Raw genomic sequence first — 25,200 nt, forward strand, 5'->3', positions numbered from 1 at the left:
CTCTTCTCTTTATCACATATCCCACACTGAACCCTCAGAAAATCCTGTTGGTTCTGTCTTCAGAATATCCAGAACCTGAACACTTTTCATCACCGTCATCATCATCATTGTCATCATTTGTCTGGATTCTTGCAAATGTGCTTCCAACTCTGCCCACCTTGCAATCTCACCCACACGGCACCCAAACCATTTCTGCATGGCCTCCGTGGGACCAGGGGCTCCCCAGCTCCACAATGGGGAGAGCCCCCCAGGGTAGAGCCTTAAAGGCCCATGTGACTCCCACCAGTCCTCACCCTGCACCACATGGCTCTGGGACCTCTCCTGGGTGCAACCTCTCTTGTTCCCTGCCACACTTCTGCCTCAGTGCCTTTGATGAATTCTGCCCTCTGCTTGGAATACTCACCACGTCCAGACACCCACCTGGCTTACCTCCTCACATCCTTTCAGTCTTTGCTCAATGATCACCTTTCCCGAGGTCTACAAGACCCCTGTGTTTAAAAGAGCAACTTAGCACACTTCCCTTCCTCTGCTTTGTTTTTCTTTGTAGTAATTACCAGCTTCTAGCATCCTCTGTCACTTACTTATGGATCATGTGGATTGTCTGCCCCTTCCTCTTCGAATGCAAGCTCCCCAGGGGCAAGACTTGGTTGGTTTTTCTCACTGCCACATTCCTGGAATGTTCAAGGCATACCAATAGGTATGTGTTGAATGATTGAATGGGTGGGTGCATGAATGAATTAATGAATGAACTTGTGGCACTCAAATACTTCTGCCATTTGCCAGCTGGGGTTTGCCAGGGTAGCATTTTTTATACGAAAAAAAGGAGGGCTGGGTGTGGTGGTTCACACCTGTAATCCCAGAGCTTTGAGAGGCTGAAGTGGGAGGATCGCTTGAGGTCAGAGTTCAAGACCAGCCAAGGCAATCTAGTGAGACCCCCATCTCTAAAAAAAAAAAAAAAAAAAAATTAGCTGGGCATGGTGGTGCATGCCTGTAGTTCCAGGTACTGGGGAGGCTGAGGTGGGAGGATCACTTGAGCCCAGGAGTTCAAGGCTACAGTGAGCTATGATTGCACCACTGCACTCCAATCTGAGTGACAGAGCAAGAATGGGCCAGAGAGAGACAGAGAGAGAAAGAGAGTTGTCACACTATCCTTATTCTCTTCCCATTTGACATAGAAACAGGCAGAGAGAGAAAGCAGAGCTCCCTAGCAGAGAGAAGAGCTGACCATAGGTAGGGGCCCTGGGCTGGAGCAGGAAACAGTCCCTAGAGATCTGCGCAGACAAGTCAAAAAAGGAGAAATCACAACGTGACAATGAGTTCCTCAGTTACATTTCTGAGCACCTGCCAAATGCCAGGGATAACGCTGGGTGCTGTGCTGTCAACGACAAAGAAGATACGGTCCTACCCCTAAAAAGCGACGGTGGGAGGCATGTGAACAGGTCGTCACTGTCCATAGGATCGAACTGCGACTGCCTTCCAGCACGCATGCTTCTGGAGAATAGAGGAGAGGAACTCGCTTCTGCTTGGAGGAACAGGAGCAGGGAACACTGGAGGCTCCAAGTAAAGAATGAGTAGGTGCGTCCCAGGCAGGAAAGGGATGGGAGGGGAATGGCAATGTGAAGGGAGCAATTGCAAAGGCTGAAGTCCAGATGAGGTCAAATGTGCTTGGGGAGAGGCAAGGGTGTGTGTGTGTGTGTGTGTGTGTGTGTGTGTGTGTGTGTGTGTGTGTGATGGTTAACATAAGAAAAGAAGTTTAAGAAATAAGAAGCCTCTAGATTGTGACGGGCTTTTTCTTCCATGCTAAGGACTGTGGTCTACGAAGAATGCAGGGTGCTGAGGTGGGGGTTGTGGATGTGGTCAGGGGTATAGGAAGCTGGCCAAAGGATAAGCTGTGATGATTTTATAATGACTCAGGAAAGAGAGCCCCTAAACTATGACAATGGCAGTCAGCACCTCACCCTAAAAGAATGTGGGAAGACAATGTATGGACCGAGGCATTGGAGAAATTTGATTGGAAAGATTAGCTGAAGAACAGCTGACTCCGAGCAACGCAGAAAGAGGAAGCTCGAGGCAGGCATGGTGAGTCACATCATGGGACAATGAGGTCTGAGCCTTGGAGGAGGAAGAGGAAGAGGAGTAATGAGAAAACCACAGGTGGGACCAGTAATCACAAAGGGAAACAGCAAAGCATTTGTAAGCTCTGGAATCCTACCCAGTGAGGCTGCTTTGGGGAATAGTATTTAGGGAACACTGGTAAGTAGCCAAACCCAGAATCAGCCATTTCAAAACCAGATGGACGGACAGGCTCCTTCAGGAAAGTTCTGCTGGGAAGGCACAGGACAGATGCCATGTGCCCTCTTCATCCTCACTGCCCAGCCAGCAGGGCAAGCCACGATACTTGAGTTCCTCCACCCCATCTTTCCTACAAATGAACACTGGTGTATTGACTTTTATCTACATCCAATACAAAACCAAAAGCCACAGTATAATTTTTTGGTTTTTTTTTTTTTTTTTGAGACACACTCGCTCTGTCACCCAGGCTGGAGTGCAGTGGCACTATCACGGCTCACTGCAACCTCTGCCTTCTGGGCTCAAGCAATCCTCCCACCTCAGTCTCCCAAGTAGCCGGGACTACTGGTGCATGCCACCACACCTGGCTAATTTTTGTATTTTTTGTAGAGACGGGGTTTTGCCTTGTTGGCCAGGCTGGTCTCGAACTTCTGTCCTCAAGTGATCCTCTCGCCTCGGTCTCCCAAAGTGCTGGGATTACAGGCATAAGCCACTGCACCCAGCCAGTTTATGGAATTTTTTAGTTGAGTTTTGTCAGTTCTCTAGGAGCGTGGTCAGTTTCATTGGCAAGAAGCAAAGGAGGATCTAGCTGCTTAAGAAACAAAGCTCTGCCAGGTGCGTTGGCTCACGGCTGTAATCCTAGCACTTTGGGAGGCTGAGGCGGGTGGATTACCTGAGGTCAGGAGTTCAAGACCAGCCTGGCCAACATGCTGAAACCCCGTCTCTACTAAAAATACAAAAAAATTAGCTGGGTGTAGTGGTGCGTGGCTGTAATCCCAGCTACTCGGGAGGCTAAGGCAGGATAACTTCTTGAACCTGGGAGGCGGAGGTTGTGGTGAGTTGACATTGCACCACTGCACTCCAGCCTGGGTGACAGGGTGAGACTTTGTCTCAAAAAACAAACAAACAAAAAAAACCAAGAAACAAAGCACTGTGTTTTTGCATACTATTCTCGTATTCTCTGAGTATTTGGATATCTTTCCCAGTTGGAAGTTGCAGATCTCTGCATGGCACAAAATCTCTATCGACTAATTTACAACTTTAGGAACAGGAAGGCAAATGAACTAAATTGTTGTGGATGACAAAAGCCATATTTTCCACAATAAAGTAAGGAAGGAACCACAAACAAATACCAGCTTATAATTTCTCCATCAAATGACAGACACACTCCGCCCTGTCTAGGCAAAAGATGGCCATACGCTGTCCCTTAGGGCTCACTGAAAATATATCCTAGTCTTGGATGCAGATATAATGTTCTATAAATACTCTCCCTGTTTGCATATTTGCCTAATGTTTTTCTTCTGCTGCCTGTGTGTGCCTGTTTAATCAGTCTCCAGAAGACAGATGATCTCTCGTTCTGACTTTATTTAACATTTAGAAGGTTATTAAGTGCTTAAAATTTTTTCGATGAACATTATGCAAATTGACACGTTGACTTCTCGAACTACAAGGAAACTATCCCAATATTTTCACGGTGGTTGAGTGGTTGATGCAATGGAAAAGAAACACACACACACACACACTCACACACACGCTCACACACACTCTCACACACTCTCACACACACACTCACACACTCACACACACACACACACACTCACACACACACTCACACACACACACACACACACACACACACACACTCCCTAAAAGGCATCCTGTATATTCAGGATCTAGGCTTATTTCTGCCATTAACTTGTTGCATTAATGACTTGGGTGGAATATAATAAATAAAAATAGGAGTTGAAAATCTTCCTAATTAATGGCAATAAATGGGAAGTAGACAAAGAACATTATGGGGTGATTACAGTGTTGCCTTTTTTGTTCAGAAAAGGATGCAATTGCCATTCATTGAGATAATCTTGGTAATTCTTACATCTTTTCTAGAATTTTCAAGATAAAAGCTTTTTCTGATCTTTTTTGAAAATTAAAGAATTTCAGAAATTCTTAGAAATTGGTAATATAATCCACTGGGTCAAAGGCAAAGTCATCTGTCTTTTCTTCCTTCCCTTCCCCCCACCGACCTTCTCTACCTTAATGTTCCAGGACTCGCTGGAGACCCAGATGTAGTAGAGCCCTGGGCTCTCTCATCTGCTCCCAGTGATAGACCCTAATTCCTTTTCACAGCTAGAAGACTCTATTACATCCTGCCACCTGCCATCTTCACAAATCTTCCCTGTTCCCAACAAGGTAAGAATGGCTAGGGTCATGACTTTATCTGCAGAACCCTTTCTGGAAGGCTAGGTGACACTTGTGAAATATCAGAGCTAACATTTGTCCACGTATACTACTTTCTGTCTATAAAATTGATTTCAGTATTATAAGTGAGGATGCACCATTTATTTCAGTAGCACCTCCACTTCTACAGCCAGCTGGCTTCTTCTACCTCGATGGGATCATATCCCCCCAAAGTTAGCATCGTTGAGCCTTCCAGTAATATAAGTAAACAAGGTTGGAGAGGGGGAAATGCAAAGACAAAATCTCTTATTCTAGAGAAGTCTCCTTGCCTAATGCAGTAGCTCATGCCTGTAATCCCAGGGCTTGGGGAGGCCAAGGCAGGAGGATCGTTTGAGGCCAGGAATTCGAGACCAGCCTGGGAAACATAGCAAGATCCCATCTCTCCAGAAAAAAGAGTCTCCCATACTTTTTGAGAGTTAGGCGTTTCACAGATATTAACTAATTTGCTCCTCCGAATGTCACTTATAAATAAAGCAACCAAGGCTCAGAGAGACTCAGTAATTCACCCAAGGCCACATAAGCAGTGGCAGAGCTGGTTAGATGACCAAACCCAGGGCAAGATGGCGCCATCCTCCCCTCTCTGTTTGCCATGCCAGGTTGCACCACACAGATCCACATCAGGAGGCAGGGACACCAGCCTTGGCGCAGCAGCTGAGACCAGGGCGAGGTCCCTCAATGCCTGTAAGCTCTTCCTCATTTGCAAAAATGATCTAGATACCCCCTTTCATTCCTAAAGCACCATCTCTCTAAAATGTTTGATTGGCTGGATAACCCCCAGATCACATATGCACGTGGTTTGTAGACTGCACCAGGCATTGACTGTGATGGGCAGCCCTGCAGCCGTGGCTGCAGCCCTTGCTAACAGTAGCCCTTGTTACAACTGCCTTCTGTACATGGTTCTCCCCTCCTGCCAAGACCTGCAGGCTACATCTGTGCTACTGGTCACTCTGCAGTTCTTCTGTTACAAAACACTCAAGCAGCCCAATAAAAGGGGATTGAGAAGGCCGAACACTGCTCCCCATTGTGCTCCATCAGTGTCTACTTCATGTCCTCATCACCCTCCCATCTCTCCTTCTCTCTCTCTCTCTCTCTGGGCAACAGAGAAATAAATATCAGATACTTAGCAGGGCTGGCCAGTGGGAGTCGGGAGATGGGCAAGCCAGCGCTAGACTCTCCGGCTATTGGTAGGTATGTCGTCTAGCTCTGGAGGACCCACACTGTCTGGCTTCCTAGTTTGGGTTTTATCACATCTATATACTTCTTCCCAGGCATGTGGCGAGAGCGTAATGGTACATTTTCTGGTTATGAATGGCACAGCCTGGCAACTCGCCGATTATTATTTCCATTCCCTGTGATGCATTATCAATCTAATTCCCCATTACCTGCCGTTTTTGTTTTTTTTCCCATGCGTTCCCCATACAGCAAGGACAAAGAAAGGCAAAAACCCTGCAAAGAAGGCTGCATCACCAATGAACAGGCTAATCCCACAGGAAATTGTGGAGTGGTAGCTTCAAGTGTGCAGGGAGAGGTTTTGGCTAATTTGAAGTGCAAAATATCATTAAAAGGTTTGGGATTCTGCATTAGGACCAGGACTCCGGACTTTAAGGTTGGTAATGCATTACTAACTGAGGAAGAGGGGCCATACCACAGCACAGACTAAGAAAAGTTTTGACACAGGTGGGCCTAACAAGCGACACTGTGCTTTAGACCACTGGGGTTTTCCAGATTTCTTTCTTTTTTTTCCTTTATTTTTATTTTTTTAGAGACAGGTTCTCCCTCTGTTGCCCAGGCTGGAGCGCAATGGTGCAATCATAGCTCACTGTAACCTCCAACTCCTGAACTCAAACAATCCTCCCATTTTAGCCTCCTGGAGCAGCTGGGAACACAGGCACACGCCACCATGCTTGGCTGGTTTTTCAGGTTTCTGAAGTCTAAACAGATCCATGTTGGAGTGCGGTCTGCTACACTCACTCAGCGATTTGCTTATACAACCAGGGTCCGGGGAGTGCTCAACATGAGCAGCGAGTTAATGTAGTGAGTGTATGCAAGCAAAACATACGCAGTAGCCACGGATTGGCAAATAATTGCTAAGAAGGCAGGAGCAAAAAGGAACATGTGAATGTAAGTCAGAGTTTGGGGCAAAGGGTATGGATGTACCAATGCTCCTGACCACAGACAACACGTTTCTTCTTGTATTGCATCATTGAATGGCTGGAGCTCTACCTTTAAAACAAAAAGCCAGAAAACATCACACAGTGTAGAGATCGCCCTTCCTAACAAGCTAGAGCCTACAAGGAACTTCTCTGAATTAGAATTAATTATGCTGGTACATCTGTAGAGAGGTTTTGATTTGACTCAAACTGAGACTACCACTCATTTCTTCTTGATTATTTGGTAGTAATAAGGCCCCTGAACTGAACCGGATCCCCCATAGTCCTCTATTACTTTCCAACAACTGTGACTTTTATTCTTAGCAGTGACTTCCATCTTCAAGTGGAAGATGAACAATGTTTCTCTTTGGGAGGAAAATGCCCAATTTCCACTGATACAGTTAAGAACTGAGGCCGGGGGCGGTGGCTCACGCCTGTAATCCCAGCACTTTGGGAGGCTGAGGTGGGCGGATCACATGGTGAGGAGATCGAGACCATACTGGCCAACATGGTGAAACCCCGTCTCTACTAAAAATACAAAAATTAGCTGGGCGTAGTGGCACGTGCCTGTATTCCCAGCTACTTGGGAGGCTGAGGCAGGGTGGCAGAGGTTGCCGTGAGCCGAGATTGCACCACTGCACTCCAGCCTGGTGACAGAGCAAGACTCCATCTGAAAACAAAACAAAACCAAAACAAAAAACAAACATAACTGAACGCACACACACACTCATTAGCCCCCCAAATAAGCATTAGTGCAATGTACTAAACAGTAGCACCAGCTCTGACCATCTTCTGTAAACGTAAGAGAGGAACAGTGATAGGGATTTTTAAAATAATGCCACTGGTGGTAGAGCTGGTTACTTCCAATGTAAGGGTGTGTCTAAATTATTCCTTATAAGAGAAGGATGTGCTGATTCCATGAGACAACGGAAAGGGTGGCAGCTGATGGATTTAGGGAACTAAAATGAAACTGCTGTGAAGAGAATTTTTGATAAGCTGGATTTATGCTGATTCAGAAAACTTTTTGCAGAAGAGAGCATTGAAACCGTCTGGCCTTTGTGTGCAATCGTGACTCCAAAGCCCAAAGTTCCAAGAGCTATTGTACCAACTCTGGAGATGAAATTTTCTGGGAAAAACAACAACTAAAAATGGAAAATACTACTGATGTACTTCAGTCTGATTATGGCTGGAATGAACACCTCAAGATAAAATCCAGCACGCCCTTCCCCACAAGATCAGATTTTTTAGCAGCCACTTTTCCAAGATTCTCTGACTCTGATTTTGCTATTGGAGGAAAAACCCAAATATCTACATACCCTCCACAATTGATGCAATGATCCCTTTTCTTCCTTTTCTTACATCAATGCCTAACTTTTCAGAGACATCCAACATCTTTTTGTTGTTGTTCCTTTCATGACATTTCCAGAGAGAAACGGACAGCGCAGAATCAGAAATGGGTAAGGTGGGGTGAACCGATAAAAATGCAGTGTCCTGGGGAGGTCATGAGGGCACATGGGCCTGAGTTACTTGCTGATTCTATTAAGGTAAGAGAACTCCTGTTTTAGCTCAAGGGGAATATAGTTTTTAGGGTTTAGACTGAGGAATCATTAGAAGATCATTACCCTATTGCTTTCTTATGAGGTCCCAGAAATTGCTTCTAAGATGCTGAGATTTTGCACAACAAATAAACCAAAAAAGAGAAATTCTGCCACAAATGTTATCATATCAGGTGCTACCCCAAAAATAAGACATATGAATTGAAGTTACTCCTGACACTGGACTCAGACATTCTAATACTCTGTGGAGAGTAGTTTAAAAGAACTTCAAAAGCTGGTTAACTGTTAGCATGTCTATTTCTCATTTTGACATATTGAACTAGGAATTCTTCAAAAGTTATACTGTTCCTTTTCTTAAAATATGCAAAAATATCTAAGAACAAAGCTTTAGATTGTAAATTGCTCCATTATACTTTCATTCAGTATGATGCGTCAGGCTAAACGCAAGTCTTATGAGGGGTAAGTATATGGCTTGCTGGACACGTGAATTGAACTACAAGCATGCTGCACGCACGTGCGGATGCAAACACACACGCACCAGCATAAACAATGTAAACACAAGTGGTATATTCATGCAGTAAAGGCAGTAACGATCTTTGATGGTAGTCTCACCCAACACTTACTTAAAGACAAAGGTAGCCTGGCAAGTCCCCTCAATATGAGATCTCCTGAACCTTCCATATCCCTTTCTTTCACATCACAAACCAATCTCACTTTTTGCATCCACTCCTTAAGGTTGACTCAAGAGCTCTTTCCTTGGCAACTCTTGCATATCTGCTATTCCACAGAGCTCTCTCCCCAAGTTCCAGAACCAAGCAAGGAGTCACTGGATGTCTTTCCCTTTGACCTCAGGCTATAACTTCGCTGTGACAATAACATCGAGAGCTGTGCACATCTGGGATGCTGTTCTCATGGATTATGAAATCAGCAACTCACTGAACCTCAAGGGGTCTCAGTTTCCCCAATGACGAGATCATGCTAATGGCACCAGCCACCTGCCAGGTTATCAGGGGACTTGATAACAATGTCTGCAAATTACAAAGAGAACCCGTGCCATAAATAACAAGTCTTATTAATAAAATTAGTTCAAGACAAGTGCCAAAAACAATATAGCAATAGCAGCGGCAGATCACACTTGGTCAGAACAAAAGAGGGTGGAGAGATTTTCTGATCCTTATTCCTACTAAAACAATTCCCCTTTAATGAAAGAATAAGAATTTAATTTTTTCTCCCTAAAACATTACTTCTACCCACACAACTTCATACACCAGTCATTACTTCTTTCTAACTTATCTGGAGGCAACATTGTATTCACTGGCTGGACAATATAGCGTTGATTTCAAAGCATGTCCAAATATTGCCTCCAATTAAATTAATTGCAGCTATTTAACTTCTCAGGACCAAGTGGATTCAAACCTATTTGTCACACGACCCTCATTCCTGCTGTGCCCTAAATAAACCCAAACTTCCTTTGCAACAGAATGGATCTAACAGAAGACAGTGTACAAACTGGATCATCTCCTAACCTTCTAGGTTGCAAGAGACAAGTAACACTTTGAGAACCAAACCAGATTTCTGTTGATTTGAGGCTTTGGTCTTCTGGCCCTGTCCAAGTCCAAGTCACACTCAAACATAAATGGGGCTTAATGCTACGAATGGGCTTGATACAATTTAAAGACCAAAAACAAAACAATGAAATGTGTCTTCCTCTCCCTGACTGCTGCCCCCAATGCAAAAGCACTTTGCTGCACATTTGAAGGACGGCATACCCAGCTAAGTTTCATGAAGTCTAAGGGACAGGTTACTGTATCCAGTTCCTAAGGTACTTCCCCAGGGTCAGCAGTGGCTTCCCAGGATGAAGTCAGCAGTTTGTCCCGGGCTCTCTGAGCGGTGCTTTCCCACAGATCAGTGATGCTGTTGGAAAAGGACGACTTACGGATGCAGAGGTGGAAGGGGGGTACCAGCAGCTGAACCCTCAATCAGGTCCAGGCAGATGTATTCCCGATAGAACAGGCTGTCACCACTGACCAGCTCAGACTTAGAAATGTGCCTGTCTAGGTTTTCAGAGCAACCCCTTTCATCACTATCTGTGAGGAGGATTCGAACTGAAAGAAGCCAGAAACAGCAGTAGCAGCGTCTCCACTGGGATGCTCCATTCATAGGGGAGCCAGAGCCGCATCCATTCATGGTGGGGTCAGGGAGTCCTTTGCGGGCATTGGTTCTCGTTTCTCAGCAAGCTGCACTTCCCGGGGGGCTGGCATGGCTGCATCGTTCAGAATGAGGATGTCTATTAAGAAGCCGTCGCCAGAGCTATTATTAGCACAGCCATCCCTTGGAAATTTCGCAGAATACGCCTGAATGTACGAACAGTTACTCTGCTAACAGGGTACTGGAGAAAAAGGCACCAAGTCGCTCGTTACGCACAGGCAGCCCACGCAGCTTTCTCGGTGCAGCACCGGGAATCTTTTCTGAATTCAACGTGCACCAACATTTGAGCAGCTGCCTCCAATATAGAAGCACTGCATTTAGCCAATTTTAAATGAGCACGTACTAAAGGGGGTTCCCTTCTGTTCTCCTCCCCTTCCGAGCGTCCGTTTTCTCTGCATCAAACTTGCTGCAGCCATTTGGAACGTAAAAAGCAGTCCATCTTAGCAGCCCCGGGCACCGGCGATCGGCTGCTGGCCCCCGCCACCCTTGTCTGAAACGCCCTGTCCTGCACCCAAAGGAAAGGGCTCCCCTGGCACTCTCAGAAAATGGTTTTAAAAAAAGCCTACACAGCTCTGCCTAAAGCCATGTCCTTTCCTATCTCCCCGGGTAGATTCAGACAGCGTGGGACTGAGGTGCCCAAGGAAAGTAGGTGTGTGTGTGCCGAGGGGAGGGTTGCAGAAGAAAGCACAGTATGTGCCCCACGTGGGATTTGCATTTAAAAACTGTAACATACGCGAAATAAACGACTCCAGGCCCCCAGTAAAGAAGCAGCGGCGCGTCCCTTTTCCCCGGCCCAGCGTGAAAACACGGAAGGCGAAGGGCTGCCGTCAGTCGCCTCCCTGCCACCGCGACCGGGAAACAAAGACACATTACCTTTTATTTTTTGCGCTTCCAAGGGATCCGAGGAACTTCTGGCTGCAAGCGGCTGGTACCCCGGAACGGGCGTCCCATTCGCCCGGGCGAAGGCCCTTGGCCTACTAGGCGGCCTTGGCGCCCGCAGCTGGCGAGCCCCCGCCCCGTCCCCGCCGCCGCCCCCGCCGCGGGCCCTCGGCGTCAGCCCATAGCCCGCTCGCGCCTCTCGCGCCGAGCCTGGCCCGGCGCCAGTGAGCCCCGCCGCCGGCCCGCCCCTCGCCCGCGCCCGGCCCGCCGCATGGTGCGCCCAGCGCGCCCCGAGCCAGTCCCCGGCGCGCTGCTAGGTCGGGTGCTAGGCGGCCACCGCGCGCCACCGCCGCCGCCACCGCCCGCCGCCCGATCCTGGACAACAATGCGCGCCCCCGCCCCCCCAGAAAGCCAGGGACGCCCCCAGTCGCCGCCAGAGCTGGCTCGGCTTCCCAGCCCCTCTCCGTGGCACCCGCAGGCGAGACAAAGTTCGCTCCCGGTGAGGCTGCGCGCGTCCAAAGCGTGCGGGATGCCCAGCACGGAGGTCCCCAAGCGGGGGACCCCTGGCTCCCCCACAAAACCCACCCAAAGCCACCGCTCGAGGCCCTCTCCTACCCTGAGAGCCCGGAGACAGCAGCTCCCTTGGCTGAAGGCACAGCTCTTACCCCTCGATCTAGTCCAATTGTATTGAATTTTAATCTCCCCTCAACTCTTCAATGGAAGTTGCTGCAGGATAACCGAGGCATGTGGCTATTGTCAAGGCTTCGCGACAATGACTGGGAGAGGGAGACTTCCATTGCGAGAGACCCGGGGTAGGAAAACGGGCTGACACGTTGTCTTTCCAAAAAAGAGAAACAAACTCTGGGAAGATTCCCCACCAAGAACAATAACTCAATTCACAGGGTATGTCTAAATGTTTATTGCTTGAGGAGCTCAATTTGCTCTTAGACACATTTTTTTTCATGAATTGTCAAAACACGGTGATAAAATAAAAGGGGATGCTGGCAAGAGCCTCCACTTAGCAAAAGCCGACTTGTTTCTGGGTAAAGTCTTTCTCTAGAATTTCCAACCTGCACCCATCCACTCTTCAGGGGAGAGACTGGTTTTCCTCCCACCATGGTTGATCTAGTACTTGGTAGATCTAGAAACATCATTTTCCGGAGACCGGTAGGCTCTGAGGACTTACAAACTTCGTAATAAAAAGAAATCACTCACATCCTGTCTTCCAACTGACTGAAAATTATACCTTTTTCCAGTCACAGGTCCTGTGTTGTTTTCTAAACAACACTGGTAAAAATTTTCAACAGTTCAAAAGGCCTCACCATCAATAGAAAGGGAATTGGGCATACAGTTAGCATTGGAGAAAAAAGTTGAACGCTGGTGTTAAGGACTACCTGTTTTGTGTTTGTTTGTTTGTTTGTTATAGAGACAGAGTTTCACTCTGTCACCCAGGCTGGAGTGTGATGGTGTGATCACGGCTCACTGTAACCTCCCCGTCCTGGGCTCAAGTGATCTTCCTGCCTCAGCCTCCTAAGTAACTGGGACTACAGGCACACCCCACCACACGCTGCTAATTTTTGTATTTTTTGTAGAGACGGGATCTTGTCATGTTGCCCAGGCTGGTCTTAACTACCTGTGTTATTTCAAGCTGACTGGAGACTTGATGATCTGAAGCCAGGTTCGAATGGGATTCTCAGGTACCTCTCTAAAGTCTGTGAGGCGTATTCCAATGCAAAACCCCATTTTTTGATAATGCAATTGGAGCCCATCTCCTTGTGTTCTGAGGTCCTCAGAGGGCATATTGTTTCTTTGCACGCAGACTAGTTCTAGTCCTGATTTGTTTTGACTGCAACACCTAGTAATGGACAATGAGGAAATGTTCAGACCTACAACATTTTTTTTTCTTTTTTTGAGACAGAGTCTGTCTCTGTTACTCAGGCTATAGTGCAGTGGCACAATCTCGGCTCACTGCAGCCTCCCCTCCTGGGTTCAAGCGATTCTTCTGCCTTAGCCTCCCGAGTAGCTGGGATTACAGGCACCCACCACCATGCCCGGCTAATTTTTTAGTAGAGGCGGGGTTTTGCCATGTTGGCCAGGCTGGTCTTGAACTCCTGACCTCAGGTGATCCACCCACCTTGGCCACAGTGTTGGGATTACAGGCGTGAGCCACCGCACCCAGCTCAGACATACATTTCTCTTCCAATATTTTGTTTCCATCCTTAGAGGAGTTGTTGAATTTTATCCACATCTACACCTCCTGCTTTCCGCCTTGGCCACTGTCATATTCTGTATGTCCTAAACTGAACTTGCCTCACTGGCCAATCCTGCCTCCAGGCTCCCTCTCCTAGTAAACAGCATGCTCCCTCCTCCTCCCCAAAGCCAGAAACAGGGATAGAGAGCTCATTTCCCTCCCTCCTTTCTCTCATTCCTCACCTGATCATGGAGCCTGTCCTCATAACTACCTCATGAAAAGTCATGAGGGCAGCCCCTTATCCCAACAGTGCCTGAAGCTGAGTGAGCAACTGCTGGGCGCCAGGCATACTCAGGCCACATCATCTTTCACCAGGATGTCTCCAGCAGCCCTGTGAATGGGTGCTGATCTTATCTCTCTCAGATGCATTCTCCACTCCAGCTGGAGCGATTCTCCTAAATCCCAGATCTGATCCCGTAACTTTCGCTAAAAACCTGTTCAGGGCTTCCCTGGCTTTGGGGACAAAAAGTCCATATTCCTTCTGATGGCTATAAGGACCCCCTGGTCATCCAGTCTTATCTTTTGCCACCCAGCCCCACCAGAAATCGTGTCACCCCCTACCCTCCAGCTACAGAACCCTCTTCCAGGGCTCCGTATGTTCCAGGTGGTCACGCATCCGCGGATCACCCAGTAGCCCAGGCTGGAGAAAGAGCTCAGCTCACATCACTGCTCTGCTTAAAGACTGCGGGTGGCTTCTCACTGCTCCTGCCACATCCTCTTTGTCTTCATCACATATTATTCACATTTCCTGCTTCCTCTCCCTGGAAGGCCAGGCCCTGCTCCCTACCCCACTCTTTGGGTAGCTGGCTCCTGGTCGTCTTTCAGGTTCTTACTCAAATGCTGCCTCTTAGATAACCTTCGGTGACCAGCACATGGGGAATGTTTTCCCCCAGGTACTTAATATATCACCATCCTGTTTATTTTTTTCTTAACACTTAGCCACCATCAGGATTCACAGACCTGTGTGAAGGGCACAGACTGAAGCCATTCTGCCTGGGCTTGAATCTTGCCTGGCCACCCACTAGCTGTGCAAGCTTAGGCAAGTTTCTTAACCTCTCTGTGCCTCAGTTGAGAACACTCATCTATGAAATGGGGACAATAATATTGCCTACCTTGTAGGGCTGTTATGAGGATTAAACGAGTTAATATATGTAAAGCACTTAGAACAGGGTCTGGCTGAATAAGCATAAACCTTTTGGGGCTTTTTAAAAAAGTTGTATTTAAGTTCAGGGGTACACGTGCAGGTTTGTTGCATAGGTAAACTAGCGTCATGGAGGTTTGTTGTACAAATTATTTTGTCACTGAGGTATTAAGCCTATTACCCATTAGTTATTTTTCCATATCTTCCCCCTCCTCTCACCCTCTATCCTGTGATAAGCCCCATTGTGTGTTGTTCCCCTCTATGTGTCCATGTGTTCTCATCGTTTAGCTCCCATTTATAAATGAGAACATGCAGAATTTGGTTTCTTCCTATGTTAGTTTGCTAAGGATAATGGCCTACAGCTCCATCCATGTCCCTGCAAAGGATATGATCTCATTCTTTTTTTATGGCTGCATAGTATTCCATGGTGTGTATGTGCCATGTTTTCACTGTATCCCCACAACCAGAACTAGTACCTGGCACAAGATCTCTTTACCCCTCCCAAAACCTTTTGTGCTTGGGGGCCTGGACTGGGAACAAATAAGAATTGAAGGAAGAAAAGCTGTATTCGAAGAATTTGAAATACTAACAGAAATAGGTCGTGATGACTAAAACACCAAAAGCAATTGCAACAAAATTGACAAATGGGATCTAATCCAACTAAAGAGCTTCTGCACAGCAAAAGAAACTATCATCAGAGTGAACAGACAACCTACAGAATGGGAGAAAATTTTTGCAATCTACCCATCTGACAAAGGTCCAATATCCAGAATCTACAAGGAACTTAAACAAATTTACAAGAAAAAAACAAACAAGCCCATCAGAAAGTGGGCAAAAGATATGAACAGACACTTCTCAAAAGAAGACATTTATGCAGCCAACAAACATATGAAAAAAATCTCGTCATCACTGGTCATCAGAGAAATGCAAATCAAAACCACAATGAGATGCCATCTCATGCCAGTTAGCATGGCGATTATTAAAAAGTCAGGAAACAACAGGTGCTGGCGAGGCTGTGGTGAAACAGGAATGCTTTTACGCTGTTGGTGGGAGTGTAAATTAGTTCAACCATTGTGGAAGACAGTGTGGCAATTCCTCAAGGATCTAGAACCAAAAATCCCATTTGACCCAGCAATCCCATTACTTGGTATATACCCAAAGGATTATAAATCATTCTACTATAAAGACACATGCACATATATGTTTATTGCAGCACTATTTACAATAGCAAAGACTTAGAACCAACCCAAATGCTAATCAATGATAGACTGGATAAAGAAAATGTGGCACATATACACCATGGAATACTATGCAGCTGTAAAAAAGAATGAGTTCATATCCTTTGCAGAGACATGGATGAAGCTGGAAGCCATCATTCTCAGCAAACTAACACAGGAACAGAAAAACAAACACCGCATGTTCTCACTCATAAGTGGGAGTTTAATAATGAGAACACATGGACACAGGGAGGGGAACATCACACACCAGGGCCTGTCAGGGTCTGAGGGGCAAGGGGAGGGAAAGCATTAGGACAGATACCTAATGCATGTGGGGCTTAAAACCTAGATCATGGGTTAATAGGTTCAGCAAATCACCATGGCACAGTATACCTATGTAACAAACCTGCAAGTTCTGCACATGTGTCCCAGAACTTGAAGTTAAAAAAAAAAGAAAGAAAAGAAATAGGTCATGGTAAAACTTGATGAATAAAATAAAATTGAAACTTAAGTTACCTGGAAATGAAAACATAAAAAGAAATAGATTTCCTGTTTCACCAGTGGTTATCCTTGGAATTGACAGATAAAAAGCTTTGCCAGTCAAAACTCCACAATGGTCTGTTCCCCGAAGAGCAGCCGATTCTACCACTGAGAATTCAGTCAGCTACTTGCAAAGGTTTAATCCGTTTATGCGTGAGGTTGCAAATTTTTGAATTTTTGCATGAAATTCATATATATTACCTAGAAAAATTCAAGGAACAAGAATTTGAAGAGATAAAATTTTTATTATGCCCCATTGTTCAGTTAAGTGGCATTCCAAAAATGGAACACTAGGCGTAAGTGGCTATGAATCAAAGAATATTTTGCAAAGTGCTGCTTCGCTGACCAGCCCTAACATGTAGTTGTGATTAAATAATTTAGAGTGCTTCCATTTTCAGCTTGAGTTTAATACTTTTCGAGACTCTTTCTGCAAAGAGAAACATGGCAGCCGGGTTTATGGGCCTTTGCCTTGTGTTTTGCTGTCCTTGCTGGAGAAGAAAGAAGCAGCAGAAATACTTTTCTTTTTGTTATTTCAGTGGGTCAGCAGGATTTGGAGAGCTGAATACCTGGGGTAACCCTTGCTTCTCTTACACAGACTGAAGGAGCTTTACTTTGGAAAGAGCTGAACTCTTAAAGAGAGGAGAGGTGCTCTGAGGTTTGGAAATGGGGGAGGTAGGAAGGGATGGAGAAGGGTGATAGCACCCCCAAAAGAAGGAAGAGAGAACATCTGTACATGATGGGCAGATGACACGAGACCCTATGCCTGCTGAGTGCCTCAAGAGTGGGCAGGCAACCTGATGGGCCAGTGCATGGCCTGTGAGTTGGGAGCTAAATTCTAAGATATGTGTCTTAGAATTAAACATTATAGGCCTTAGATTATAGGTACAGTGGCTCAAGCCTGTAATCCCAGCACTTTGGGATGCCAAGCAGGGTGGATCACCTGAGGCCAGGAGTTCAAGACCAGCCTGGTCAACATGGTGAAACCCCGTCTCTGCTAAAAATACAAAAAATTAGCCGGGTGTGGTTGCAGCTGCCTGTGATCCCAGCTACTCAGAAGGCTGAGGCAGGAGAATTGCTTGAACCTGGGAGGCGGAGGCTGCAGTGAGCTGAGATCCGTCATTGCACTCCAGCCTGGGTGACAGACAGAGACTCCGACTCAAAAAAAAAAAAAAAAAAAGCTAAGATATGTGTCTTAGGCACAGCAAAGGATCCTGGAGTTCAGTTAAGAGGGTTGGAGTCTGGCCTCAAAATGAACGGCCAGTCCTTTTGCCCCAAGCACCTTAGTGGCAACTCTATTAGATTGATGACAAGAGGCTGGGTGCGGTGGCTCATGCCTGTAATCCCAGCACTTTGGGAGGCCAAGGTGGACGGATCACCTGAGGTCAGGAGTTTGAGACCAGCCTGGATAACATAGTGAAAGCCAGTCTCTACTAAAAATATAAAAGTCAGCTGGGTGTGGTGGGGCGTGCCTGTAGTCCCAGCTACTTGGGAGGTGGAGAATTACTTGAACCCAGGAGGTGGAGGTTGCAGTGAGCTGAGATTGTGCCACTGTACTCCAGTCTGGGTGACAGAGAGAGACTCCATCTCAAAAAAATAAAAAAATAAAAAATTGATAACGAGACCACTTCCCTGTTTAGAGGTCCAAGGTGGCCTGAGAGAGAGGGAAGAGGATGCAAATTCTTGCCATCCCAATGAATGAGGATGTAGTCAAATTTAATTGGGTTTAGAGAAATAAATTAATGTGATTTTGTGTGTATGCCCAAAGTGATGGAGCAAAAATTCTGTCTTCTCCACTAATAACAAGTGCCAGGTTCTTAACTCTAGGATTTGAGTCACAGCTTCTCTGACCAGCTTGGAGCATACATGGGACAATTAAGAGATGATGGCTTAGCTCTGATCTTTGCTAGGGTCTCACTATTGGTGGAGAAAGATCTCTCCCACTCAAGCCTTTGTGTACTTGCCGAGCTGAGGACAGGAGACAAGGTAAGGGAGGACCTGAAGCTGGGTTGTGTAATCCTGTCCTTGGAGCTAATACCATTGGGCAGTCTTGGACTCCTTTTCCAGGGCAACCTTGAATAAGCCTCTTATTGAAGCTGTTTCTCACCTTTAAAATGAGCCTGGGAGCTGGGCACAGTGGCTCACACCTGTAATTCCAGCTCTCTGGAGGGCCGAGGTGGGAGGATCACTTGAGGCTAGGAATTTGAGACCAGCCTGGGCTACATAGTGAGACCCCTGTCTCTACAAAAAAAATTTAAAAATTAGCTGGGTTTGCACCTGTAGTCTCAGCTACTTGGGAGGATGCGGTGGGAGGATCACTTGAGCTCAGAAGTTTGTGATCGCACCACTGCACTCCAGCCTGGGTGACAGAGCAAGACCCTGTCTATAAAATAAAATAAAATAAGCCTGATAATATCTATTGCCAGCCTTATGAAGACTAGGGGTTCAACACATATTGTTTCCAAAACCACACAACTGATAATAGTGAACAACTAACATTGTGGTGAGTATGTACTCTGTATTAGGCAGTGCTAGAGCTTTCCAAACTTTAATTTAATCATCATGGGATTCCTATGAGGTGGAAACTGTTCTGTCCCTTGGTGAGTATGTACTCTGTATTAGGCAGTGCTAGAGCTTTCCAAACTTTAATTTAATCATCATGGGATTCCTATGAGGTGGAAACTGTTCTGTCCCTTTTCTACAGACAAGGAACTTGGGATGTAAAAAGGTGAAGTGGGCCAGGTGTGGTGGCTCACACCTGTAATTCCAGCACTTTTTCTGGCAGGCTGAGGTGGGACGATAGCTTCAGTCCAGCAGTTTGAGGCTGCAGTGAGCTATGATCATACCACTGCATTCCAGCCTGGGTGCCAGAGCGAGACCCTGTCTCTATGACAAAAAAGAAAATGAAGCCACATGCCTGAGGGGACTCTGCTGATCAGATTTGAACCCAGAGTCGTCTTTTGGAGGCTTGAGCTCTTATTGTCCATGCTTGCCTGCCACAGGCTGTACATGTGAAATACACTGGCGGTCACAGGCAGCATGGCCACAGAATTACTTTGTATTCACTATTAACTGTGGATGGAGTCCCAGTTACAGCGGAAGACACCTGGGAATTGATAGGCTCCTGTGTCGTTCCATCAGTTCCTAACCTGCACCATATGGACATAGCTTTACATTCCATTTTCTGTGTTTATAGTGAATAACACTGGCAAGTTTTCCTTTCATATGTCAAGCAGGTGTTAAAAATGCAGAGAGATCCCTCTGGGGCAGGTTAAAGTGCTTGGCTGGTTTCAAGTGAATCCTATTATATTTTTATACCCAATCCTTTTTGCTTCCTACTCCCAGGTCAATTAGAGGCCAATTCTGAGCCACTTCAATCAAAAAGGGATAATTCCGTCTCCTGTCATGTGTGGCCTGCGATCAAGTACTTAAAACCAGGGTCCCCGGGGTGTATGAAGAAATTATCCAATGGCTGTGTTTTATTTTGTTATTTTTTCACCAACAGCTCTGTCATTTGAAATAACCAAGTTTTATAGTTTTGTTGTGTTCTCATTACATTAGATAGTTGGTTATGATTTTTCTTGGCTGGGAATCATGATTTAGACTGCAACTCATGGCAACAAAAACCCAGAGCAAGGCTTCCTGAAACACAGACAAGAATCAATCAAAACATCACAAGCTAATTAAAGTACCTTGGAGCCCCTGGGAGTACCTGTATTCCAGCGAGTACCACGGTATAAAATTGGTTAACATTCTAAGTATACTCAAGTACCTTCGGCTAGCTCTCTCCCTAAGGCTTTTTTGTTTATTTACTCAGAAATATGTATTAATAAAAATAGGGCCGGGCATGGTGGCTCATGCCTGTAATCCCGGGACTTTGGGAGGTCGAGGTGGGTGGATCAATTGAGGTCAGGAGTTTGAGACCAGCCTGGCCAACATGGTGAAACCCCATCTCTACTAAAAATACAAAAATTAGCCAGGCGTGTTGGCAGGTGCCTGTAATCCCAGCTACTCAGGAGGCTGAGGCAGGAGAATTACTTGAGCCTGGGAGGCAGAGGTTGCAGTGAGCCTAGATCACGCCACTGTACTCCAGCCTGGGCGACAGAGCGAGATTCCGTCTCTAAAATAAAATAAAATAAAATAAAATAAGAAGGTTAAAACTTAGTTGGCATTTACCAAGTGCCAGGTACTGATTATGTGATTTACGTATAATAACTCAGTCTTCGCAACAGCCCTCTGAGATGGGCACTATTGTTAACCCCATTTATAGGTGAGGGAATGGAAACACAGGGAGAGGTGTGATAAGCCATCTCAGATCCTACAGACGAGAAGTCGGCCACTGCCAGTTACCAAACTCAGGCAGTCTGATTCCAGAGCCGGTGCTCTCAACCCTAAGGTGTGTTCCTCAACCCTCAGGCATGGTCGAGTATTAGGTGGTATTGCGTCCCTTCTCGTGCCTAGCACAAATAATTATAATTTATTTATTGGCCCATTGCTTCACTGCAAAAAGCAGCTAAGGCAGAAATATTTGTAAAATTGAATGGAGGCTGGGTGTGGTGGCTCATGCCTGTAATCCCAGCACTTTGGGAGGCCAGGGCAGGTGGATCTGCCTTGAACCAGAGATCAGGAGTTTGAGACCAGCCTGGCCAACATGGTGAAACCTGTCTCTACAAAAAATACAAAAATTAGCTGGGCATGGTGGCGGGTGCCTATAATCCCAGCTACTCAGGAGGCTGAGGCAGCAGAATCTCTGAGCCCAGGAGGTGGAGGTTGCAGTGAGCTGAGATCATGCCACTGCACTCCAGCATGGGCAACAGAGCGAGACTTCATCTCAAAAAAAAAAAAAAAAAGAATGGAAAAGATTTTCAGCAAATATTCCTTTTCCTATTGTAACATCAATTATTGTGAAGGTTTATGTGCAAGTGACATCAATCTACCAATCTCTCAAGTGAGCAATAGGACTATATTGAAAGGATGGGCCAGAGCAGGAAGTAAGAGCCCCGGGACCTCCCAGCCCCAGGGAGAACAGGCGAGTGAGCTTCTCAGAGCGGGGACAGGGCAGGAAGCTGGCCCCCAGTGATGACTTGGGAGGCAATGATTTCTCCTGCCACCCCATAGAAGTCAGACCTACTCCAAATTATAATAGCAAATAATCTGTTAATAAATAATAATATGGTTCAGGCTATCAAATTTCTAGGATTCTGATTTCACTAAATAAGAAGATAGGCTATTTAATTTTTTGTATATTTGTTTGTTTTAGAGACAGGGTCTCACACTGTCATCCAGGCTGGAGTACAGTGGCGTGATCATAGCTCACTGTAACCTTGAACCCCTGAGCTCAAGTGATCCTCCTGTCTCAGCCTCCTGAGTAGCTGGGGCTACAGGCATGTACCACTATACCTGGCTAATTTTTATTTTTAAATTTTTTTGTAAAGATGGGGTCTTGCTATGTGGCCCAGGCTGGTCTTGAACTCAAGTGATCCTCATGCCTTGGCCTCCCAAAGTGTTGGGATTACAGGCATGAGCCAGTGTGCCAGCCTAGGCTTATTTGTTGAGATGGGATTGGGTACAAAAGGTTAACATTTAGAAAGATCTCTCTGCATGGAAAATAAAAAAGTTGGAGATATCTATACATGGAGGGCATTTAGACTTATGGAAATTGATGGTTAGGCAAAATACTGGAGAGAGAGAGAGAGAGAGAGAGAGAGAGAGAGAGTGACAGAGATGAGCCAACTGAGCCAACATGAGAATCCCCTGGAAGACCAGTCAAAATAGATTCCTGGGCTGGGCACAGTGGCTCACACCTGTAATCCCAGCACCTTGGGAGGCCGAGGCAGGTGGATCACTTGAGGTCAGGAGTTCAAGACCAGCCTGGCCAACATGGTGAAATCCCATCTATACTAAAACACAAAAAAATAGCTGGGTGTGGTGGCACACACTTGTAATCCCAGCTACTTGGGAGGCTGAGGCAGGAGGACTGCTTGAACCCGGGAGGTGGAGATTGCAGTGAGCCAAGATCACGCCACTGCACTCCAGCCTGGATGACAGAGTGAGATGCAGTCTCAAAAAAAAAAAAAAAAAACAACAACAAACAACAGATTCTTGAGTGTTACCCCCACTCCCATTTCCAACCCAGGTCTCTGATTCTTAGCTTGGGTTAGGGTGTAATAATTTACATTTTTAACAGATTCCAAAGATATTGATCCTGCTGATTGGAGCTTACACTCAGCACAATTTTCCTACCTCTTGGCTTTTACTGTGCTCCGGGCACCCTGTTGTCTTTACGCTTGTGCTAGCCCCAGGGCCTTTGCACTTCCATCTGCTTGGAAGGCCCTCCTCCAGATACCAGTAGGAATCAAGCTCTTACCTTTTCAGGTCCCTGCTCAGATGTACCCTTATTAGTGAGATCTTTTCTAACCACCTTTCTTAAAAATAGCAACTCCTCCCACCTGCCCACCTCCTGCTCCCCCCGTTCCTAATCCCTTTCCTAGTTTGTCTCCATTCTTTCTTTTGCCTTCTAACAGACTGTACCATTTATTTACTTAGCTGTTTGTTTTATTACCTGTCCTTCCCACGAGAGCAGGGATTTACGTCCATTTGGCTTTTTGCTAAATCTCCTGAGCCTAGAACAGTCTTTGGAACATACTAAACATTCAATAGATATTTGTTGAGGCCGTGCATGGTGGCTTATGCCTGTAATTCCAGCACTTTGGAAGGTGAAGGCAGGAGGATCACTCTAGGCCAGGAGTTTGAGACCAGCCTGGGCAACATAGCAAGACTCCAACTCTACAAAAAATGTTTTTAAATAAAAATTAGCCAGGTGTAGTGATGCACGCCTGTAGTCCCAGCTACTCAGGAGGCTGAGGCATGAGGATCACTTGAGGCCAAGAGTTTGAGACCAGCCTGGGCAACATAGCAAGACCCCATCTCTAAAAAAATAAAAATAAAAAAAAAATAGCCAGGGCGTGGTGGTGACATGTGCCTGTGGTCCCAGCTACCCTAGAGGCAGAAGTGGGAAGATGGTGTGAACCCAGGTGTTGGAGGCTGCAGTGAGATAGGACCATGCCACTACACTCCAGCCTGGGTGACAGCGACAGCTTGTCTCTTAAAAAAAAAAATTGTCTGATGAGTGAATAAAATGAATGAATGGACATTCTTGGATGTAGAATTGCAGTCTTAAGAACTTAATTCTGATGGAAATGCTTCCTAACCGATTGCCTCCCTATCTAAAATGAAATATAATCGTGTCGCTCCACTTCTGAAATATCTAAATATCTCTCACACCCCGAGTGAAGCTGAAGCTCCCTGGCATTTGTTCATCACCAGGCACTGGTGGGGGCTGGGACATGACAGTGAACAGATGCGGAAGTGGCCTTTGTCCCCTTTTGCCTACAGTCCAGTTGAAAATAGGGCCTGCCTGCCTGTCTGGCCTCACCAACCACTATTTCCTGCTGGCGTTTCGCCTCCCAGCCAAGGAGAACGCTCCTACAGGCCCCTGTGCTTCTTGCCTTCTTGCTTTCGCACGGCCGTACATCTGCGCGGAAAACCCTCCCGTCCTCCCTGACACCTGGTTGACTCCCACTCACTCTTCCAGCTCCGCTCAGACGCCTCATTCCCCGGGAAGCCTTCCCCGAGGTTCCCCTCTCCCATGCCCTAAATAACCCATGCGCATCTCTATGCTCAGCACGTTTTCATCACCACCTTTGCATATGTCTTTATACTGCTCTCCGTCAAGAATTCTTCAAAGACAGGCATCACGGCAGTGCTTTGTGTTTTAATAATTTTCTTGTATTCCAGATCCTCAAAATGTGTTCACCTGTACACGGTGTATGGTATTTAATTTCACTTTATCACTTTCTTTTAGCCAAGCATTGTGATCAGAACCCAATAGATTTTTATAGTTAAATCCATCCTGCTAATAAAAAGCAGGGGAGTCAGTGATGGTAGAAAGCAGCGTTTGTAATCCCAGCACTTTGGAAAGCCAAGGCAGGAGGATCACCTGAGGTCAGGAGTTTGAGACCAGCCTGGCCAACGTGGCGAAACCCTGTCTCTACTAAAAAATACAAAAATTAGCCAGTGTGGTGGTGGATGCCTGCAATCCCAGCTACGCAGGAGGCTGAGGCAGGAGAATCGCTTGAACCCGGAAGGCAGAGGTTGCAGTGAGCGGAGATTGTGCCACTGCACTCCAGCCTGGGCGACAGAGTGAGACTCTATCTCAAAAAAAAAAAAAAAAAAGAAAAGAAAACAGCATTTGACCAGTGTTAATACGCAACTCCTTAAAACAGTTTTAAGGAAGGCAGCCTTCCTTAAAGTCTGGAACTGTGACCACTGTTTCTCATAAATGAACAAGGACCAGTCGCAACACTGGCCCCAACAATAAAGCCCACTTTTTTGGGGATACCTGCAATGCATTTTGAAGACTCCTGAAAGCTTTTGAGGGGGCCTAATAAAAGCTCTTAATAATAGAGCAGGTCTAGTTTCTATTAGATCTTGAAATAGACATGCTTCCATCTCTCCCTAGTCTCTCCTTTGTAAACTATGAATTGTTTTCATGTTGGCTCTTAGAGATCTAAGGTTCTTCCTTTGTTCATGTACTTTTAACTTCTTTGTGTGGTTTTGGGAAGGTAGGCACAGATTTTTTCTCAAAAGTGAAATCAAGTTCTCAGTAGAAGAGGAAATACATAGTGAAGAGAAAGGAAAGTACCTTTCAAATCTTCAGAGAATGCCCCTTGTG

General features: G+C 46.1%; 1 protein-coding gene across 3 annotated transcripts in view, besides 6 other annotated features; it reads right to left on the reverse strand.

Annotated features, from left to right (window-relative positions):
- FRMD4A (FERM domain containing 4A) overlaps positions 1–25,200 on the reverse strand; it is a 687,219-nt gene that overhangs the window by 236,604 nt on the left and 425,415 nt on the right. The window lies entirely within an intron of this gene.
- Positions 588–1,477: an enhancer, noted in NCBI's record as "NANOG-H3K27ac-H3K4me1 hESC enhancer chr10:13922897-13923786 (GRCh37/hg19 assembly coordinates)". NCBI's record gives its function as "activates a minimal SCP1, AML or CMV promoter by ChIP-STARR-seq in naive H9 embryonic stem cells {active_cell/tissue: H9 hESC(naive)}" and the evidence as "EXISTENCE:reporter gene assay evidence [ECO:0000049][PMID:30033119]".
- Positions 1,478–2,368: an enhancer, noted in NCBI's record as "OCT4-NANOG-H3K27ac-H3K4me1 hESC enhancer chr10:13923787-13924677 (GRCh37/hg19 assembly coordinates)". NCBI's record gives its function as "activates a minimal SCP1, AML or CMV promoter by ChIP-STARR-seq in naive H9 embryonic stem cells {active_cell/tissue: H9 hESC(naive)}" and the evidence as "EXISTENCE:reporter gene assay evidence [ECO:0000049][PMID:30033119]".
- Positions 1,940–2,234: an enhancer, noted in NCBI's record as "tiled region #6510; K562 Activating DNase unmatched - State 9:DNaseU". NCBI's record gives its function as "activates a minimal TATA promoter and a strong SV40 promoter by Sharpr-MPRA in K562 cells {active_cell/tissue: K562}" and the evidence as "EXISTENCE:reporter gene assay evidence [ECO:0000049][PMID:27701403]".
- Positions 2,369–3,258: an enhancer, noted in NCBI's record as "NANOG-H3K27ac-H3K4me1 hESC enhancer chr10:13924678-13925567 (GRCh37/hg19 assembly coordinates)". NCBI's record gives its function as "activates a minimal SCP1, AML or CMV promoter by ChIP-STARR-seq in naive H9 embryonic stem cells {active_cell/tissue: H9 hESC(naive)}" and the evidence as "EXISTENCE:reporter gene assay evidence [ECO:0000049][PMID:30033119]".
- Positions 6,871–7,000: an enhancer, noted in NCBI's record as "active region_3067". NCBI's record gives its function as "activates an Ori minimal core promoter by ATAC-STARR-seq in GM12878 lymphoblastoid cells {active_cell/tissue: GM12878}" and the evidence as "EXISTENCE:reporter gene assay evidence [ECO:0000049][PMID:35858748]".
- Positions 23,954–24,470: an enhancer, noted in NCBI's record as "H3K4me1 hESC enhancer chr10:13946263-13946779 (GRCh37/hg19 assembly coordinates)". NCBI's record gives its function as "activates a minimal SCP1, AML or CMV promoter by ChIP-STARR-seq in naive H9 embryonic stem cells {active_cell/tissue: H9 hESC(naive)}" and the evidence as "EXISTENCE:reporter gene assay evidence [ECO:0000049][PMID:30033119]".

This window comes from Homo sapiens, chromosome 10 (genome assembly GCF_000001405.40).
Source record: "Homo sapiens chromosome 10, GRCh38.p14 Primary Assembly".
Lineage (NCBI taxonomy): Eukaryota > Metazoa > Chordata > Mammalia > Primates > Hominidae > Homo > Homo sapiens.